The following is a 22,083-nucleotide window of genomic DNA, read 5'->3' on the forward strand; positions in this document are numbered from 1 at the left end:
GAATCGGAGGTTGCAGTGAGCCGAGATCATGCCACTACACTCCAGCCTGGGCAACAGAGTGAGACCGTCTCAAAAAAAAAAAAAAAAAGAAAGAAAGAAAGAAAAGAAAAAAGAAATAGAAAACCTTAACAGAACAATAATGAGTAGCAAGAAAGAGGCAGTAATAAAAAGTTTCCCATCAAAGAAAAGCCCAGGACATGATGGTTTTGCTGCTGAATTATATGAAACACTTAAAGAACTAATACCAATGGTATGCAAAACTATTCCAAAAAATTGAAGAGGAACACTTCCAAACTCATTCTAAAAGGCCATCCTTACCCTGATACCAAAGCCAAAGACACAACAACAACAGAAACTACAGGCTAGTATCTCTGATGAACACAGATGCAAAAATCCTCAATAGAATACTAGGCAAACTGAATTCAGCAACACATTAAAAAAAATCATTCACCATGATCAAGTGGGATTCATCCCAGGGATGCAAGGATAATTCAACATATACAAATCCATAAACAGGATATGTTACATTAACAGAATCAAGAACAAAAACCAGGTGAGACATAGTGGTTGTAATCCACCACACGCCTGTAATCCAGCACTTTGGGTGGCCAACACAGGAGGACTGCTCGAGTCCAGGAGTTCGAGACCAGCCTGGGCAACATAGCGAGACCCCATCTCTACCAAAATAAATAAATAAATAAAATACATGTGATCATTTTAAAAGATGCTAAAAAGTATTTAATAAAATTCAATACCACTTCATAATAAAAACTCAAAAACTGTGTATAGAAGGAACATACCTTAAAATACAATAAAGACCACATATCCATGACAAACTCACAGCTGGCATCATACTGGATGGGGGTAAACTGAAAGCCTGGAACATGAATGCCGACTTTCATCCTTTTATTCAAATAGTACTGAATGTATAAGCCAGAGCAATTAAAATTAGACAAGAGAAAGAAATAAAGGGCAGCCAAACTGTAAAAGAAGAAGTCAAACTGTCCTTGTTTGCAGACATGATCTTTTATTTGGAAAACCTAAAGATACTGCTAAAAAAAAAAAAGGCATTAGAACTCAGAAACAAAATAAGTAATGCTGTAGGATACAAAATCAACATACAAAAATCGGTAGCATTTCTATATGCCAACAGCAAACAATAAGAAAACAAAATCAGGAAAGCAATCCCACTTACAAAAGCTCTAAAAAATAAAAAATAAAATACCTAGAAATAGAATTAACCAAAAAAGTGAAAGATCTCGACAATGAAAACTATAAAACACTGATGAAATTGTGGGATTACACACAAAAAAGGAAAGACATCCCATGTTCATAAAGTGAAAGGATATTGTTAAAATATCCACACTATCCAAAGAGATCTACAGATAAAATGCAATTCCTATCAAAATACCAATGACATTCTTCGCAGAAATAGAAAAATCCTAAAATTCATATGAAACCTCAAAAGACCCCAAATAGCCAAAGCAATCCTGAACTAAAAGAACACAGGTGGAGGTATCACACTACCTGACTTCAAAATATACTACCAAAGCTATAGTAAGAAAGTGTGGTACTGGCACAAAAAAAAAAAAAAAAAAAAAAGACACATAGACCGATGGAACAGAATAGAGAACCCAGAATAAATCCACACATTTACAGTCAAATCATTTTCAATAAAGGCATCAAGAACATTCATTGGCAAAAGGACAGTCACTCCAATAAATGGCACTGGGAAAGCGAGATGTCCATATGCAGAAGAAAGAAACTAGATCCTGTTCTCTTACTACATAAAAAAATCAAATCAAAATGGGTTGAAGACTTATATGTAAGACCTGAGACTACACTACTACTACAAGAAAACACTGGGGAAATGCTTCAGGACACGGGTCTGGCAAAGATTCTTTGAGTTAGACCTCAAAAGCACAGGCAACAAAAGCAGAAATTGACAAATGGGGTTATATCAAGCTAAAAAGCTTCTGCATAGCAAAGAAAACAACCGACAAAATAAAGAGATAACCTAAAGAATGGGAGAAAATATTTGCAAATTATCCCACTGACAAGAGATGAATAACTAAATATACACGGAACTCAATAGCAAAAAGCTCCAAATAATCCAATTTTAAAATGGGAAAAAAAGATGAAGAGACATTTCTCAAAAGCAGACACACAAATGGCTAACAGATATATTTTTAAAAATACTCAACATCATTAATCATTGAAGGAATAAAAATCAAAACTACAAGATATTATCTCACCCCATTAAAATGGCTATTATAAAAAAGACTGGTGCTGGTGAGGATGCAGAGAAAAGGGGAACACTTCTACACTGTTGATGGGAATGTAAATTAGTTCACCCATTATGGAAAACAGTATGGAAGTTCCTCAAATAACTAAAAATAGAACTACCATATGATCCAGCAATCCTACTGCTGGCTATATTTCCAAAAGAAAGGAAATCCGTATATCAAAGAGATATCTGCACTCTCATGTTTATTGCACCACTATTCACAACAGCCAAGATATCAGACATGAAATCAACCTAAGGGTCCATCACCAAATGAGCGGATAAATAAAATGTGCATAAGTACACAATGGAGTATTATTCAGCCATAAAAAAGAATAAAATCCCATCATTTGCAGCAACATGGATGGAACTGTTAAGTGAATAAGCTGGGCACCGAAAGACAAATATCACATGTTCCCACTCATACATGGGAGCTTAAAAAAAAACAACTGATCTCATGGAAGTAATGAATAGAATGGTGATCACCAGAGGCTGGGAAGGGTAGAGGGACAGTGGGGGATGAAGAGAGGTTGGTTAATAGGTACAAAAATACAGTTAGAGAGAAGGAATAAGTTCTAGTATTTGATAGCACAGTAGGGCAACTGTGGTTCACAACAATTTACCGCATATTTCAAAATGGATAGAAGAGAGTATTTGGAATGTTCCAAGACAAACAGCTGATAAATGTTGTAGGTGATTTCCCTATTACCCCAATTTGATCATTACACATTGTATGCATGTATCAAAATATCACATGTACCCTATAAATATATACAATTATATATCAATTGAAGTAACAACAACAACAAATAACTTTCCAAAACAGAAAGCAGTAGGCCCAGATGGGCTCACTGGTGAATTCTAGTAAACACTTAAGGAAGAAATTATACCAATTCTCTACCATCTCTTTTTAAACTTGAAACATTCAGGAATAGTCTGTCACTTTAGAAAAAAGTCTGTCCTAAGGGGTATAATCACCACCACCACTCTCCAAACCCTGGCAATGCCCCCAAAAGGCACTGGCAATGCTTTAGTGAAGACTATAAATAGGTAATAGAAAGAAAGGACTTTGGAGACCAAAAAACAAGCAAACAACAATCTGAATTGGGTTACTAGCTCTTTTTGTTTTTCTTTTTGAGACAGAGTCTCACTCTGCTGCCCACACTGGAGTGCAGTGGTTCCATCTCAGCTCACTGCAACCTCCAGCTTCCCAGGCACAAGTGATCCCCCTGCCTCAGCCTCCCAAGTAGCTAGGACTACAAGTGTGTGCCACTATGCCTGGTTAATTTTTGTATTTTTTTTTTAGAGATGGGGTTTTGCCACGTCGCCCAGGCTGGTCTCAAACTGCTGGGCTCAAGTGATCCGTCCACCTCGGCCTCCCAAAGTGCTGGAATTACAGGCATGAGCCACTGCGCCCAGCCACTGGCTCTGTCTTACTAATCTTTTATCTCAGCCAAAAATTGAATTTGATTACTGGCTTTGTCTTATGAACCTTGGAGAAGTTAGTTAACCATGTCACATCTCAATTTCCAAATACTTATGGAAGAGGAAATGACAATACCAACTTAATAAGAATGCTGTAAGAATTCAAAGTAACAATTTTACAAAGTACCTACCATAGGGGTTGGCCCCACAGTGGTTCCCTTCTCCCTTTCTTTTTGCCCAATCTACTTTGCCATCTTTGCCCAGATGATAAAACTGGGGACAAAAATACAAAGTAAAAATACGAAGTTCTACTATATATACGGTTTACACTAAAATAGGCCTCATTACATATCTAAAGAAATTATCCAAAATCCATGGCTTTAATTATACAATCAAAGCATTAACACCGGACTAGTCTCTTTTGCAAAGAAAATATGCATTTTCCTGGCAGCCATAGAGTAATAGTTTAAGATCTGTGCCTCCACCCCAATCCTACCCACACAATTTGATCCTCTTCCCAAGTAGACATTGGCACCTGACCATTTCTGCCTCTCCCAAGAAACAAAGAGGCCCAAAAGCTTGACAGCCAATCTAATTTAAGTCCAAAGGAGAAGAAAACGATGTCCAAGTAACGGCAGAATAAAGGAAAAAAACAAACAAATCTGAGCTAGTTAAAAAAGGAAACCAGCAGAAGACTAACCTCCTGTTTTTTATTGAAAAGCGACTGCATGAAGACTAAAAAACTAGCCCCAACCCCTAAGTCTGGATTGATTTAAAGTGGTGGAGGTAGGTATTCCAGGCAAATCCCTCAATGCACAAGAGTAAAGAAGCAGCTCTATTTCCACACTGTTGGATTTTCATGGGCTTCCTCTGATATAACCTATTATTTCCAAGGCCTAGGAATGTCCCCTCCTCAACTGTCTTATCAGCTTGGGGTTACAACCCAGCTCTAAGGAGAAGGGTATGACTTTTAAAATTAAGGTGTAATGAAGTTTCTCTCCTAATCTCATTACTACCTGGCTGTGTGACTGCTTATGAATCATTTCCTCTCTCTGAGCCTCAATATTACTTCTCTGCAAAATGAGGATAATACTGTTCCCCTGACAGCACTGTTATGAGAATTAATTCAAAAACCAATGTCAAATGTGCCTAGTACAGTGCATGGCTCATAGCAGACAACAACGGGAATTAATTTCCTTCCTTTCCCTTTGACACAGCCTTATCCTCCAAGAAGAAAAAGGGACATCATTCCTTCTTTCCATAAAATTAACTCAGTACCATGACCAGGTCAGAAATGCCAGGGCTGGAGCCAGACTCTAGATACAGCCCTTCCCATATCTGAGCATGAACTCCAAGTCACATTGCAACAGCACACTTTTGAGAGGCCACACACTCACGCAGAAGCTAGGTCTCACACCCAGCTATTACTTTAAAAAGCCAAGATTAGCTCAAGGCTAGGTGAGTAATGAGATGTAAGTGCTCTGGGAATCTGTCCATTCCCAGCATAACTAATGAGTAGCGTCAGTTGTATTCTGCCCCAGAGAGGGACCAACAACTCCAGATGGCCAACAACTCTGAAAAATGCTGAGGCAATGATCAGAGGAAGAATATTTCTGCCCCTTCCTACAGCCTCTGCTTTGGGAAATTTACATTTTGTATAATCATTATTAAAGGTTATTTGTGCTTTTTTTTCCCTTCAGTTTCATTAATAGAGAATCTATATAACATAGTACGAGCAAGAACTTTGGAATCAAGCTCTGGTTCAAGTCTCAGCTCTGCCTCTTCCTTGCTATGTGACACTGGACAAGTCATTTAACCACCAGAGCCTCAGTTTTCTCACCTTTTGTGCTTTCCAAAGTTCTGGCTGCCCCTTCAGTAAGCTGTGAAATCAACTGAGTAGCTTGCAAGTAACTTTTTTTTTTTTTTAGTAAAAAGAAGAAAGTATCAGATGACACTACATGATATTTTACTATGAAAATACTAGATGTCACTTGCCTATAAAATGGGACTATCAGGTGTATGCTGTTATTTTCTGTATTTGTCAGAGGTTTGTTTTGTTGTTGTTTTTTAAGAGACAGAGTCTCTGTCACCATCCTGGAGTATGGTGGCATCATCATAGCTCACTGCAGCCTTGAACTCCTGCACTCAAGTGACCCTCTCTCCTCACCCTCACAAGTAACTAGAACTACAGGCACATATCATCAAGCCAGGCAAATTTATTTTTTGTAGATATGGGGGTCTTACTATGTTGCTAAGGCTGGTCTCGAACTCCTGGCCTCAAGCAATCCTTCCACCATGGCGTCCCAAAGCACTGGCATTACAGGCATGAGCCAAGGCCCCTGGCCTATACTTTTCAGAGTTTTTGAGAAATTGAAAAAATAAAATAATGTAGGTCAAATGTTAGCAATTAACCCTACTAGAGTCAGAATAGCTGAATACAACCTTATTTATGAATAGTAAGAAAGTTCCTCTTCACTTATCAATTTCAGATTTCCAGAAGTATGTCTTCAAGAACATATTATTAACCAAACAGTCAGCCAACATTATGTGCCGAGGACATATGCTTCTAAATTATTGACAAAGAAAGATCAGGTCTAATTAATAACTGAATTTTATCCTAAATTAATACAGAGAATCAGGCTGCAAAACCCTACCCAGGCAACAGTGATGTATGAAAATGCTGGAAGAAGCTCTCGTTGAACAAACCCTCTCTGTTGTGGAAAGGGCAATGAAACCAATGTTAGCCCCAAAATGGTTATAAAAGAAATATGATTCTTCTAGGACACTCAAAGGTGGCCACTGACATGTGAGAACCTTGGCAAGATTCTCAGCTTGGGAGGAACCCCAGTTAAAGATAGTGTCAAGGGGGCCTCAGAGGACTAAACATAGACAAGAACTGCACACAAGGACTTCTTCGGCCTGCAGAACAAGTTACCATTCTGCTTAAAACCTTCCAATGTCCTACTATTTGGGGGGAAAAAAACAAATTTGGGAAAAAATACACTTGGAAAAAACCCAAATTTCTTACTATAGCTTACAAGGTCCTATGTGATAGGGCCCCATCCCACCTCTCCAACATCACCCCTACTTGCATTCACTCCATTTTAGCCATACTACCCTTTTGGCTCCTCAAGCACACTAAGCTCAATCCCACATGAGAGCTCTTGCATTTCTTGTTGCCACTACCCAGTTCATTCTTCTGGCTCTTTGTAGGCTGAGGTTCTTCATGTCATGACTTGGCTCTCAGCTTGCATACTTTGGTTCCTCAGAGAGGCATAGCCCGATACTTCCTCATTCAAGATGTCTCCCAATCCACCACATCCCACCAGTCAGTCATTCTCCATCACCACACTACCCTATTTTCTTCACAGTGTAGCTTCATGTTTCACTTCATAGTACTTTGAGAATTCATTTTTCTGTCTCCCCATTAGAATGTAAGCTCCATAAAAACCTTTGTTTTGTTCCTGATACCTAGATACTGGTTGCTTTTATACATACATTTTTTTTTTTTGTACACACACACACACACACACACACACACACACACACACCTGCCAAACAAACAGAATAAAGAAAACTGATGCATCCATTCCAGGGCCACATCATGTATGTTAGAATTTAACTGCACTTTCAAAATAACATGTGAAAGAGGATTTACCCACAGAAGAGCCTTTGCCAACTGAGTTCAGCAATTAGTTGTTCAGCTAAAGTCCCTATAAAAGGTCCAAGTAACTAACGAGCCAAGCTTTCCTCTGAGCATCCATTCATGAGCCATATCAGAAGGGTATAGTTCCTAATGCCCAATGAAAGAGTATTTAATTTGGAGCCGATGCCTGAGCTAAATTTCATGTTTCCAAACCCACTGATCATCAACTGACTATGAAGTCTGCCTCTAACATAATGGCTCTTGAGTCAAGCGAGAACAAGCAATTTGAACAAAGGTTCAAATCCCAGTTATACATTTTACATCTCTGAGGCCTTTGACAAGTTCCCTCATCTATTAAATGAAGATAACAATATGTATCTGAAAGGACTGTTTTGAAGATTAAATTAGCTAAATGTATTCAAAACATCTGGCACATAAAAACCCAATACAAATTATTATTTACTAATTCACATTTTTTCCAACTAATATTTATTGATATCTACTTCATAATAGGCCCTGTGCCTATACAGAGGCACAAGGCACAACTCAAGAGAAACTGGCCATCGTCCCAGCCCAGGAAGGGCTCACAGTGTAACAGGAAAGATGAACCCATAAATCTTAAGTATAACAGAATTACTAGGAATATAGTATGTATTAGGTGTCATCCAGGAAGGCTGGAAAGAATCTTCCCTTCTCTAGCAAACCTGATGTTAGGGACTAGCTGGTCTCTAGAGTTAAAAGGCCCATCAAAACCCTTACAACTTATAAAGTGAAAAGAGCTTCTGAGATGGGTCAGAACAGCTCTGTAAAGAAGCCCTCACATGATTTTAAGAATAGTCAAGAAAAACTGTCTTGATAGCAAAAAAGTGGAAGCTACTTAAGTGTCCATTGACAGATGAATGGATAAACAAAATGTGGTTGCTACAGTTTGGATGTAATTTGTTTGCTCCCCCCTCATTGAGTCTCATGCTGAAATCTAACCCCTTATGTTGGTGGTGGGGCCTGGTGGGAGGTGTCTGGGTCATGAAGGCAGATCCCTCATGAATGTCTTGGTGCCATTCTTGCAGTAGTCAGTGAGTGCTGGCTCTATAACTCCCTGCAAAAGCTGATGGTTTTAAAGTAGTCTGGCACCTCCTTCTTCTCTCTCTTGCCTCCTCCTCTCCTACCATGTGATCTCTGCACACACCAGCTCCCTTTCACCTTGTGCCATGAATGGAGGCAGCTTGAGGCCCTCACCAGAAGCTGGTGCCATGCTTCTTGTACAGCTTGCAGAACCATGAGCCAAATAAACCTCTTTTCTTTATAAATTACCCAGCCTCAGGTATTCCTTTACAGCAACACTAAAGGGACTAAGACAGTAGTATACACATGCAATGGTATATTATTCAGCCTTAAAACGTAAGGAAATTCTGACATGCGACAACATGCATGAACCTTGAGGACACCATGCTAAGTGAAATAAGCCTGTCAAAAGGGAACACATCTTGTATTATTCCACTTATATGAGGTATCTAGAGTAGTCAAAAAGCAAACAGACAGAGGCTAGGCACGGTGGGCTCATGCCTGTAATTCTAGGATTTTGGGAGGCCAAGGTGGGTGGATCACTTGAGATCACGAGTTCGAGACCAGCCTGGCCAACATGGTGAAACCCCGTGTCTACTAAAAATACAAAAACTAGCCAGGCGTGGTGGTGGGCACCTGTAGTCCCAGCTACTCAGGAGGCTGAGGAAGGAGAATTGCTTGAACCCAGGAGGCGGAAGTTGCAGTGAGCCAAGACAGTGCCATTGCATCCCAGCTTGGGCAACAAGAGTAAAATTCCGTCTCCAAAAACAAAAAACAAAAAATCAAAGAGAAAGTAGAATGATGGTTGTCCCCAGGGCCTGGGGGAGGGAAGAATGGCAAGTTAGTGTTTAACAGGTAGGTAGAGAATTTCAGTTTTGCAAGAGGAGAAGAGTTCTGTGGTGGATGGATGGTGGTGAAGGCTGCAAAACAACGTGAATGCACTTAACACCACAGAACTATACACTTAAAAATTATTACAACAGTCAATTTTATGTTACATATACCTTACCACAACTTAGAAAAAAAAAAGATTGTCTTGTGGCTTACAAAAAGCAAGAGAGTGCTCATCTCCTCTTCTTTCGAACATTCTTATATCTAATAGTGCATCAAAACAGCTTTTCTCGGGTTAAGACAAGAGAATAATTCTGGGGTAGTCCTCATATGGAAGGTGCTGCATAATATAGTCAACATCTAAAAAATTCCAAGTACAAACATCCAAACCCAAAATTTACAGCAAAAGAGACAGATGGAATTATTTCAACAACTGTGAGAAAGGCAAGAAATAAACAGAACTATTGGTATGTTTAAGTATCAATTTAGGACTCTATAAGCTAATTTCTAAAGAGACAAGAAAGTCCACGGAAAAAAATGATTGGTCCATGTAGAGTAGATTTCATATATCAGAGTCAAGGTCTCACAAAACAACTTTACTGTTTTGAAACTTTAAAGAAGTGTCAACTTGCATTAAATAAACAAAGCAACTGCCATGTACTAAACAAAAATGTCACAAATGACAGTCCTGTATAATGACCTGGTTTCCCAGTGGCTCAGAAAGATGGAAAATAAACCCCAAGGACCCTAGTTCAGACAGACTGAAGAGAGCAGACCGTGGCTGTCTTGCATGATTAAAGGCTATGTCACAGCTCAGTAGGGTCCATGCTTTCATAGCTTCCCCCCCCCAGCAACCCCTAATGTGACTAGGACTGGGACAAGAGTGACAGTCTCACAAAGGGGATAAAAAGACATAAAGCTTCTTCCTCATACATCCAAACACTCCAGAATCTAAAACTTCACTTCTCTGTTGTCCATCTATCCAATTTTCATTAAGAGCAATTTATATCATATAGAGGCTTCAAAGTCAAATATGCCACTTTTATTTTTACCTTATCAAACCTATAAAATCAAGACCAAGGGTTGGTCTGGATATGAAGCTTGGTTAGGATCACAATAAATTTTCAAATCAAATAATTGGTTTCAGTTAGAGCCAAGTTTATCAACAATAGGGTGATTTAGGATTCAGGAAAAATCGGCTGCCTATTTGTATTTCAGAAAGACTAGTATTTCTTCTGACACAAGTAGAGAGGTGTAAGCAACCTCTGGGTGGGTAATGCCACCAAACAAAAGCAACACCTTCAAAGTCTCTCAGTGACTAGAGGCAGCCAGACACTCAAACTGCCAGTCCTGAATTACGGCCTCTGAATGGTGAGGGCTTCACATTTCACCGATCAGGGCACAGCCCAATCAGAAGACAAACCCCTGCACTGCCAGGGACCAGCAAATCCGCTTTCTTCCAGTGTGCACATGACTAAATGTGCTTCTGTCCATCATCTGGGTCATATATAGTTCAATGCGAGCTGAGCAGACAGGGCTGCAAGGAAATCTGGCGCGGTTCAATACCTCGTCTAGCCTGGGTTCCAGTATCTAATTTTTTTTTTGTTTTAACTGACAAACTCATTTCTCTACTGGGACAGGATGCTGTGCTGGCTGGAAGTTCCATTTCTACAGCAAGAATCCTATCTGGAAACACAGAAGTTGTCCTCTAGCCACAGCAGCTCGAACTTTTTTGATTGTCGTTGCTGCTTTCTCCCATCACCCCCATCCCCTTTTGACAAAGATCCAACTGTAAAAAGTCTTACGTAACAGTTCAGGACTACTTCGGTTCTTTTACTGGGTAAGCACTTTCAATTTTTTTTTTTTAACTAAAAGCCATTTTAAAATTGAATCTGTTGAGGGGCTTGACTAAAATCTTTTAAGTAATTTGTGTAATGGAATACTGTCAGTGGATTTTTTCGTCTCATTTCTGCACGTGCTCCTTTGTTCTCAGAACAGAAGCTTTTTATACACATCCCATAACGCAGCTGGAGAGAGTTATGAAGTCAGTTATTATAAGGAACACAAAGGTTGCTTTCCATTCTTTGCCTTTAGATAATTAATTTTTTTGTTTTCTTAAAATGGAGTATTTAAAGAAGGAAGAAATTCACAAGAAATAAACTGTTGGAGAATTTAGAAAAGTTTGAAGTTTTTACCACCTTTTCTATCTCTAGTTTTGTGTGGCCAAACACTTGTGCCGCCTGGGGCGGTGGGGGTAGAGGCAAGCATAGACAGAGAGGAACTAAGCCAGACATGGACAAAGGCACGAGCCAAAACCAGACAGTCCTGGCCGTTCGATAGGCCAGCAGTGGGTGAGACAGGTCAGCCAGCTGCAGGGGCGGGAGCGGGGGGGCGGGTAGGGACATGGATGTGTGAGGTGCTCATGCGTGCGATCGTGACTAGATTCTGAAACTGCCAGCCATTTTCCCAGCTCCGCTTTGTGCAATCTAAAGGAATGCATCCCCTCTGAAGCAGTCTTGCCAGAGCCTAGTGAGGGAGAGAAGTATGGTAAATACCACAACATATGGAATCAGAAAATACCGGGAACTGGAGTGGGCAAGGGGGAATGCAGAGGGTGTGGAAATTTTTTAGTGATCTGGAATGTGTTGAGTGACAGGAAGTGCCCCAAGCTTCTCCCCCACCAACTCTTCTCAGTCGCGCCTGCTTTTGTCTAACTCTTGTAATCTACACACTACTGCTTACAAAGCTGTCTGAGTTTAAGACAAAAAGAAACCTAAAAGTCTCCTTACTTCATAGTACCTGTGATATGGAAGGAATGTAAAAGCATGACCCTTTAAGCCTATGGACATTTTTTCAGGTATACAGGAGAAAGATAAAATAATTTTCCACAGAAAAATGAGAATTATGAATTATATAGTTCAGGTTCCAAATCTAATTTTTAAAAGAATTCTGATTCTGCTACACTTTACAAATGCTTAGGTTGGTTCCTAATTTGAAGCAGACTTGTTTTATTTGGTTAATGCATTGCATTTGAACTTGTTTCTATTTTCTTTGCATAAATTTGGACTTTGGGAGAAAAATGCAAAGTAATAAGTAGAATGCACTTGGGGGAAAAAAGGAGGATTTTTCCCTTCATGGGTTGGAAAGTATTTTAAAGGGTTGTTTTCTTGAAAAAACAAGCTCTCTCTTACTTTCTGCATCTATGCTATAAAGATAACTATGCTATAATAAATGTAAGGTAGAAAACTTTAAAGAGAAAATAACAGTGTTCTAAGTGAAAAGCTACTTAGCATTTTCCCAAACTTACACATTATCAACAGAAACACTAAAAATTAAGAGAAAAGCAGCCAACTAATTAAATAGCTAGCCTTATTTTGGGGGTATGGGATAGAAAATTAAGTGTGAATAAAATGATACTTGGGAATGTTTCTCCCTCGTACCACAAAGGATGTTAGTGGTCAGCCTACGAGTTAATCCTTCCTAGCATGGCTCTGAGCCTTCATGCCGAGCAGACGTTATTCACATGACGATTCGAAAAGTCCATTCATATATCTCGCTACCTGGATTTGAATAGAAACCAGACAGCAATTCTTTAGTTCCAGCCACCATTCGCCCCACTGGACAATAGCGATTTGTTAGCACAGAGTCACAGGCTGTGGGACACAAAGCTTGGAGCTGCAGAAAGATGGGGGATTCAGAGAACAGGAAATTACAGGCTCGATGCACTCCTGGCAGCTCTGAGAATACAAAAAAAAAAAAAAAAAAAAGGCAACACAGAGATGCCATGTTTAAGAGCTACTTCTAGCTTTTTTAACCACCTCCAATGTCATAAAAGCTCTATTGTTGGAGTACATAAAGTCACGAGTCCCATGTGCTCGCTTTTCTCACTACAGGGAACTTCATTCAATGCCCTTGGCACAGTAAGAAATATCAAAAGCATCCAGAGTTGATTAGCTGTACACTCTGGTAGAAAGGAGAGCATTTTATAAATAAAATGTCAGGAAAAAAATACGCTTAGTAACACAAGTGACATGTAATAAAATTAGTATCTTTTTAAAATTCCAAAAGAAAATAATTAAATACATCAAAACTCGAGGGACATTAATTTCTCTCCAAAATATCACATAAAATCTATTATTTAATTCCATCAAAAGTTTCTTTAGAATATATATACCAATTTAGAGGCTAGCATTATACAGAAAACTTCCGAGTTCTGGGTTGTATTTTCCAAAACAAAGAATTAAAATCAAAGCCCCAAGAATTTATTCTGGAATACTAGAAAAAAAAACTACACTTTATTATCAAATTAGTGTAGCTCCCTGGCTAAATCAGAAATTGCCTCTACTTCCTTAAGACCTAAAAAATAAATTTAATGGATATTCTAAGTGAATGAGGGAGAGATACTTCTCCAATCTCAAGAAACGAGCAGGGGGAAACAGTACATGGATTCTTGTCCAGGCCCTCATGCTGCAACCTGAGCACCAACAGGCCAGACTGGTGTCCATTTCAACAGGAGGAGGAGACCCTGCACAAGGAAGCTATAAATGGTTTTGCTCTTCTGCCCTTCTTCTGTGATCCATTAGTAAACACAAGTTCGAAATGATATCATATCTGAAAGATTTATCAAATGAGACCATGAATGGTCAAAAAAGGCTTTGGAAACATCAATTATTCTAATCTATTTGGTCCCATGATAATACGGTGTGAAGCTGAACACGTGCCAGATTTAATGGTGCTGGTAAACATAATAGCAACCTTTAAGCTACCAACAATTGGGCTTCCTCAAATACTATTATTACTCACCAAACACAAACATCAGTTACTATCCCAAAGTGCGTTGTCCAATACAGTAGCAACTAGCTCTATGTGGCTATTTTGATTTAAATTAATCAAAATTAAATAAAACAGAAAACTCAGTTCTTTAGTTATACACACCACATTTCAAGCACTCAATAGCCTCATGTGACTATCATATGGGATAGCCCAGATATAAGACATTTCTATCACTGCAGAAAGTTCTACTGGACAGTGCTGATCTGGGCTATGCTTATATCCAGCATACCCATCTTCAACTACACATCCAGCTGGACATGAAAAAATTTAAGTAAAAAATACAATGACAAGTATGACAAGATAGCTAGTGCCATAATACTTGAGAAATACCTTTAAAAAAAAAAAAAGCATTTGAAACCAAGGATGAGAAAAGAGGTCCAGGTCCATTTTTTTCCCCCTTGGTTGCAATGAAGAAGTTACAAAGAATATTAGATAGTACTGGAAGACAGGTAGTCATGGCCAGAGTACGTGAAATGCTCCAGAATGGTACTAATTTAGTGTCAAAAACTTCTTCCTAAACATATGAGACAATTAATTCAATAGTTTCATGGTATCACAGCAATGGACAATATGTGTAACAAAAAACCAGGACCTAGAAGTCACTTGGTCTTGAGTAGGTTTATGAGTATCAACTTTGCTAGCTAGATGATATTAGGCAAATTAATTTACCCCTCTGAAACTTAGTATCCTTACCTGCAAAATGGGGAAATAGACACCCTGCAGGATTTATATAGAACGGCTCGCAGTGAAGTATGTAAAGTATCTAGTAAGGTGCCAGGCACATGGTAGAGATTCCAAAAAAGAGTAGCTATTATTATTACATTTTTCCCCTTAAATACTCACAATGTGACTCCTTGTAGACTATCAGATAGATACTATTCAAAACACAAGGCAAGCCTTCATAAACAAGTATCCTAAAATATTAATGCTGGCCATGTCAGCAATTCAACTGGAATAAAATGAAACATTTGGACAGGAGATTGCTTTACCAGCCGATGTGTGACCATGCTGTCCCATGCAGGCTGCTTTGTCAAAAAAAATCTCATGTCATATTTGGCTTACATAATCAGCATGTTCTCTTGTGTTCAGTCTTATACTTAGGGATGTAGGGTTAGATTTTAGATAAGACGACAAAGGTCTATAAACAGAAAGCAAATTTTTATCTGAGTACAAAGCAATGATCTCCAAATACTGGGAAGCTGATATCTGTTCAGGAAAACTTAAAAAGCTATATTAGAAATACAATGATAAGAAGCCTTATTCTCCCTTGCTGAGATGACAGAAGCATACAGAAAAACTTTAAATGAAAATCCTTAAAGAAATGATGAATTAGGTCTTTTTTCCAAGAAACATTTTAAACAATCTAGATTGTATAATAGTAACAGTAGTAATGAATTGGCAAAACACCCAGTGCATCATAGCCTTCGATTACTGTGAACTTGGTTTATGGTCAAGACCGAGTGCAACAAATGGTACTACCCACAAGCTTCTGTGGTTTTAAAAAAAAATTTAGAAAGCCAAAGGACTTCTATGATGACCACGTCTTAACCCCCAAATCTACCATCAAATAAATTGGACGTGATAAACATGCATGTGAGATTCTTAAATTCGGATGCCATTCTCAGCCTATCTTATGCCTGCTTGGTGCAAGAAACATGAGTCTTAGGGTCAAGTGAACAGGGGCTGGAATCCTGGCTCTGCCCCTTATTTACTACAGGATCTTGTACAAGTCACTTCCCCTCTTTGTCTCAGACTCTTCATTCATAAAATACAAATATCAATCCCTTCCTGCCAGGCTGTTTTCAGAGTCAAGGATATGTATATAAACACTGACCAGTGTTTCTGGTACATGGAAAACACTCTGGAAATGCCAATTCTGTGAACACTCAGTAAGGGCTTGAGGTTCTGTTCATCGTCTGAGACCACAAAGAATGGAAATAGAAGGGTTCCAGGCTGGTTCATAGCACAGGCCATTCTCCATTTAAATTTTAAATTAAAACAAACATATGAATGTAAAAACTGTCAACACTGCACAAATAACTTGAAATCTTAGAAACATAAATATTGAATGAACTGAATGAATACAGAAAAAGTATTATTTGAAAAGTGAGGTGGAATGTCAGACTTCAATAATGTAAGGTATAATTTAATGCTGATACAAAGTTAGTACCATTAAGTATAAAAAAAAAGAACCCTTTTCTTAAAATAAGAATTAATATTTCCTAGAGACTCTTCTGAGTAAGATTTCTACGACCTCCTCTTGGTGATTAAAACAACAACATCAAAGTCCTAAAATACTGTCCAAGAATGAGAAATTAAAATAATTTGAAAACACAGAAAATTCATGTCTTAAAATCAAAGATTTAAGAAGGAATTCCTGGGCAAGGTATTTTCCTACTACATCTGTGGATTCATTTTAAAGTTGATAATAATCCAGCAGGAATGAGAAATCAGTGTTTCTTAATGATGCCAAATAAGTGAAAAATGCTGGATATACCACATAACCTTTTGGAGGACATAAGGCAGTAGATTCTCTAAAGCAAACAGCGGAAGTGTAAGGGAGATTGTGCGATGTAGTTTAGAAGGAGGGTTTTCTCCCAGAAATTGGCTGAACTAGATATGATGTCATATCTTAGCTCTGCCACTGTTGAGCTAGATGACTTTTAACAAGTTGCTTCTCTCTGAGTCTCTATTACCACTGGTGGTCCAAAGAACACATTCATACTAAAAGCTAAAGAACAGACAGCACTTAAAGGTAAGAATCTGGATATGCCAGAGGGTTCTCCATCCTGTCTCTCCAATACCTCACCACCACAAAATGTTTTACAGGACTGCTGAAGCAGACAGACGGATTAGACAGATAAATAAATAGATAATGAATGAATGGATGAATGAATGATTCTGATAAATCACAAAAGCTCTCCAGAGGAAAGGTTCCTCAAGAACCTCAGCAGATGGTACTGGGTTCTTACTGAATGCTAATCAAGCAGAACCTTTTTTCCAGTCATTCATCTAATCAATATTAAGCTTCTAATATGTATCATGTACAGTATTAGACACAGGTTGACCAAATATATTACCTGCCTTCATGGAGCTAACAAGCTATAAACTGGGATAACCATGGGCCAGAAGCCCTATCATTCAAGAAATGGCAGGGGCCAGCGACGGTAGCTCACACCTGTAATCCCAGCACTTTGGGAGGCAAAGCTGGGAGGATCACTAGAGCCCAGGAGTTCAAGACCAGGCTGGGCAATATAATAAGATCCTTGTATCTCCAAAAAAAAAAAAAAAAAAAAAAAAAAGGTAAAAATTAGCCAGACTTGGTGGTGTGTGCCTCTGGTCCCAGCTACACAGGAGGCTAAGGCAGGAGGATCACTTGAGGTTGAGGCTGCAGGGAGCCATGTTCACCCCACTGCACTACAGCCAGGGTGACAACAAGAACCTTTCTCAAAAAAAAAAAAAAGAATAAAATAAATAAACGGCAGTGAGCTGAGTTCAGAAATTTTGGGAATGGTCCAATGATTTGGGAAACTGCCTTGCCATTTGTTGAAGTCAAACTAACATAATTCATAAAATAATGGAAAAATACGCTCAGCTCCATTTCATTCAACCAAAGAATTATGCTAAACTATAAGATCTTAACAGACTTTCAATGGAGTCATCAAGCCATTAAGAAAATAAAATACCTTCAAATACACAGGCTGGTTCCATAATGACCATTAGTCAGATCTATGGTAAACCACTCTCTCATATAAAAACTGAGTCACCTTTTAATAGATGTTTAAGAACAAGATAATTTCTGGAGAGGATGAAATAAAGCGAGTCTGGGTATGAAATGATGTTGCAGGAGCAGATCATGATACACAGGAGCATTAAATGTAAAGCATGTTTCCTTCATCTCCTTCCTGAAGACTATGTTCTCAGCAGTTACCATTTCCTTTAATGACACATGCTATAATGATCATGATTACACAGCTAGGTAGTACTCAACCCATGACTAATCTGGGCTCTTAACAACCAAGAATATTTGAGACATGGACGATAACTATGAACAGAATGAGAGACCAGAGTCACTATTGGGTTTCTGTGGCAATTAATCTTACGAACCAGAAAGACGCCTACAGAGTGTCTAAATATTAACCCCTCTTCCAATTGGAATTTACTCTTTGTTGTCCTAGGACTAATACAATGAAGTTGTTGTTACCAATGGGGTAAAGTACACGCATTTGCCACAATGAAGCAATATTATCTCCACAGAGCAGGAAGCTCCCAAGATCCAAAAGTTCCAATTAAGAAATTTATATTCCAGTTACCTGATATTAAAGATGTTGGATTTCCACCTAGATTTTTCTCACTAGTAGACTCAATATCATGTGGCTTTTTCTTTTTCTTTGTTCACTGAATATCAAAGTCAAGTGGAAAAGAGGTCTGGCAAATGTATTCAGAGCAAATTAGACAGTTACACCAAAAAAAAAGAAGACCCCAATTTGGTTATCTGTTATTGTGACCTAGATTTTGGCGGAATTACCTCTATGTGGTTCTTTTTTTTTTTTTTTTTTTTTGAGACAGGGTCTCACTTTGTTGCCCAGGCTGGAGTGTAGTAGTGCAATCTTGGCTCACTGTAACCTCCACCTCCCAGAGACAAGCAATTCTCCTGCCTCAACCTCCCAAGTAGCTGGGACCACAGGCATGCACCACCATGCCCACCTAATTTGTGTATTTTTTGTAGAAACAGGGTTTTGCCATGTTGCCCAGGCTAGTCTCGAACGCCTGGGCTCAAGCAATCCACCCGCCTTGGCCTTCCAAAGTGCTGGGATTACAAGCATGAGCAACCATGCCCGGCCACCATTTGGCTTTCTAATACCATTACATTTTGTCAGGCTCATTTCTCTGTATAATCCTCTATTACTAGAACAGAAAAATTCCTTTTGCCTGGCCATTTAAGAGCTTCTAGGTATAGTTTAATCATTCAAAGGATATCTGTTGACAGCTTAGTATATCCCAAACCCTGTTCTAGGCACCAGGCACACAGCAATAAACAAGACAAAGGTGTTGTACTCGGGCACTATAGTCACAGAGACTTGACTCTGTATCAGCTTGAGCACTTACTGACATTGTGAAATGTGCCTCTCTGAATCTCAGGTTCCTTCCCTGGCGGGGGCGGGGGAAATAATACCACTTTATAGGGCTGTTGTAAGAATTATATGTTTGCCTGTGTCTAGCATAGCACCTAGAACACCACAGATGCTTCGTATGTAGTAGCTATGGTTTTACAAATTGCGAATATTACTATTATCCACCCTACTTTTTTTTTTTTTTGAGACAGAATCTCACTCTGTCACCCAGGCTGGAGTGCAGTGGCGCAATGTCGGCTCACTGCAACCTCTGCCTCCTGGGTTCAAGCAATTCTTTGCCTCAGCCTCCTGAGTAGCTGGGATTACAGGCACCCGCCACGCCTGGCTAAATTTTTGTATTTTCAGTAGATACAGGGTTTCGCCATCTTGGCCAGGCTGGTCTTGAACTCCTGACCTCATGATCCACCCACCCCAGCGTCCCAAAGTGCTGGGATTACAGGTGTGAGCCACTGCGTCCGCCTGGCTTATCCACCCTACTTTCATATTCATGTATATGAGAATATACATGAATATAGTTTTAAAAAATAACAGGTTTCAAAGGCATAAGTATATCTAAAATACGTGCTACAGGTGTTAAGAGCCAAGCAGAACCATTAATGAATGAAATGCTACTGTATATCCCAAACACAAAACTACTTTAAAGTTGGGATATTAATGGTGAAGTAGATCACTGTCCTCACACAGATTTCAAAGGGTAGGGCAATTTCTCTCTAGTAGTATTACTATTTCAACAAATTTAATCAGAAATTGTATAGAAGAAAAATATCTAAAAGATTTGGAGTCTCATGTCCTACCACAGCCATCAAGAAGGGCATAGAAAGCATGTCTTTCCTCTGAAGACTATTATAAAAGCCTCATAAAAATGTTCTCTGAAGGAATATTCTTAGGCTGACTGTAGTGATATACCTTGTAAAATAACTTACTTTTTCATCTTATCGTAGCAGTATGCTTACTACAGATGAACTGAGAACAAAAATATAAAGACAAAAATTTAATCATAACTTTTTAAGTTATTTATAATCTCACAAGCTAAAGATACCTGCTGTCAACATTTGAGAAATTTCCTTCTAGTCTCATTCATTTTAATTATGAGTGACTTTTAAAATACACTTGATCCTTAAACATCACAAGGGGTTAGGGGGACCAACCTCCCATGCAGTCAAAAATCCATGTATAATTTTTGACTCCCCCAAAACTTTACTAATAGCCTACTGTTGACCAGAAGCCTTACTGATAAGTTGGTTAATACATATTTTATATGTTATATGTGTTATATATTGTATTACTATAATAAACTAGAGAAAAGAAAATGTTATTAAGAAAATCATAAGGAACACAAAATATATTTACTATTCATTAAGGGGAAGTATATTGTCACAAAGGCCTTCATCCTCACTGCCTTCACACTGAGTAGGCCAAAGAGGAGGAGGAAGAGAAGGGGTTGGTCTTGCTGTCACAAGGGTGGCAGAAGAGGTGGAAGGGGAGGCAGAAGAGGCAGCCATACTTAGTGTAACTTTTATTGAAAAATATCCACATATAAGTGGACCTGCGTGATTCAAATTCATGTTGTTCAAGGGTCAACTGTACTAGGAGTTTTTCTGCCACTATACAAATGACACTGATATATTAATATGTAGAAAACTTAGATAATACAGAAAAACATAAAAAGGAAAATTTGTCACCTATAATCTCACTCACAGAAAAAATTCTTACTAATATCTTAGTGTAGTTCATACACAATGGAATCCATTCTCAACACCGATTTTTCACAATCATTTGTTCACTTACAAGCATATTTTCAAGTCATTAAAAATGGTTTTTGTAGATATCTGGATGGTTTCCAATTATTCTCTAATATAAATATTAATTCAATGAACACACTTATACAGAAATCACTGTCCATATTTCTGACAATTTTTTTTGGTCTGACCAATGTACATCCCTGCCAGCAGGGACTGACAGTATCTGTCTCATCCTAAGCTCGCAAACACTGAGAATGTGCTATACATAATTAGCTGCTACCCAAATATAATACAGTTTCTGTTTACTCAATAAAGAGAAAAAAAGGGAGTTTTAAAGGAAAACTCAAAATGAAATAAACATAAGTAGGGATCTCCCTAAGAAGACAAATTATACATCCCTAACAAATACCAGGCAGTTGATAGCAATATTGAAAACCCTCTAACAGGACACAGTATAATATTAGGTTCTAGAAATCTCAGAAGTAAAAACAAATCAAAACATTCTTCTCATAGATGTATTTCATTAGTTGGAACTGATGAAATGAATCAAGAATCACTCTCACCATTGGAGAAAAAAACTGACATCGAAAACACTGTTCATAAATTAAGATGCATAAAAATCAATGTTTTTATGTCTGAATTATTTCAAATTTTTGTCAGCAAACAGTATTAAATATGGATATATACTTTGGTTTCCCAAATATAACAGAAAATTCTATAAATTCTTATCAAGGTAAACAAATAACCAAAAATGGCATTTATTCAACAAATACTTACTGAACAACTTTGTTTTGGGTACTTTTATATATAAGAGACTCAAAGTTGTCAGAAAGAGTTCTTTCTTCAAAAATCCTGCCTTCAGTACCTTCACAATGTGGCCCTCTTATATCACAGAACATTTGCCCTGCCTACCTGTTGAAATATCACATGTCTCAGACTGTGGCTAGAAAAAGGAAAACATTTCAAGACAATGAATAATCAACTTAAATATCAAAATTTCTTGGGAGGAGGAAAAGAGGCAATACAATCCAACGGGATAGATTCCATTAGCATGGCCTCTTACCAGCACACAGGAATGTTTACCCAAGTACCTATAGTCAAGAGGAATTCGAGTAGCTAAGATTA

At 38.4% G+C, this 22,083-nt stretch overlaps 1 protein-coding gene and 1 long non-coding RNA gene across 5 annotated transcripts in view, besides 2 other annotated features; one reads left to right on the plus strand and one right to left on the minus strand.

The window, feature by feature from the left end:
- Positions 1–22,083, minus strand: part of NR6A1 (nuclear receptor subfamily 6 group A member 1) — a 254,037-nt gene that overhangs the window by 130,379 nt on the left and 101,575 nt on the right. The window lies entirely within an intron of this gene.
- MIR181A2HG (MIR181A2 host gene) overlaps positions 10,783–22,083 on the plus strand; it is a 40,193-nt gene continuing 28,892 nt past the window's right edge. Inside the window, exon 1 of the long non-coding RNA NR_038975.1 lies at positions 10,783–11,088. This is a non-coding gene — a long non-coding RNA (MIR181A2 host gene). The remainder of the gene's footprint in view (positions 11,089–22,083) is intronic.
- Positions 10,830–10,949: an enhancer, noted in NCBI's record as "active region_28987". NCBI's record gives its function as "activates an Ori minimal core promoter by ATAC-STARR-seq in GM12878 lymphoblastoid cells {active_cell/tissue: GM12878}" and the evidence as "EXISTENCE:reporter gene assay evidence [ECO:0000049][PMID:35858748]".
- Positions 11,771–11,820: an enhancer, noted in NCBI's record as "active region_28988". NCBI's record gives its function as "activates an Ori minimal core promoter by ATAC-STARR-seq in GM12878 lymphoblastoid cells {active_cell/tissue: GM12878}" and the evidence as "EXISTENCE:reporter gene assay evidence [ECO:0000049][PMID:35858748]".

The sequence above is a fragment of the Homo sapiens genome, chromosome 9 (assembly GCF_000001405.40).
Source record: "Homo sapiens chromosome 9, GRCh38.p14 Primary Assembly".
Lineage (NCBI taxonomy): Eukaryota > Metazoa > Chordata > Mammalia > Primates > Hominidae > Homo > Homo sapiens.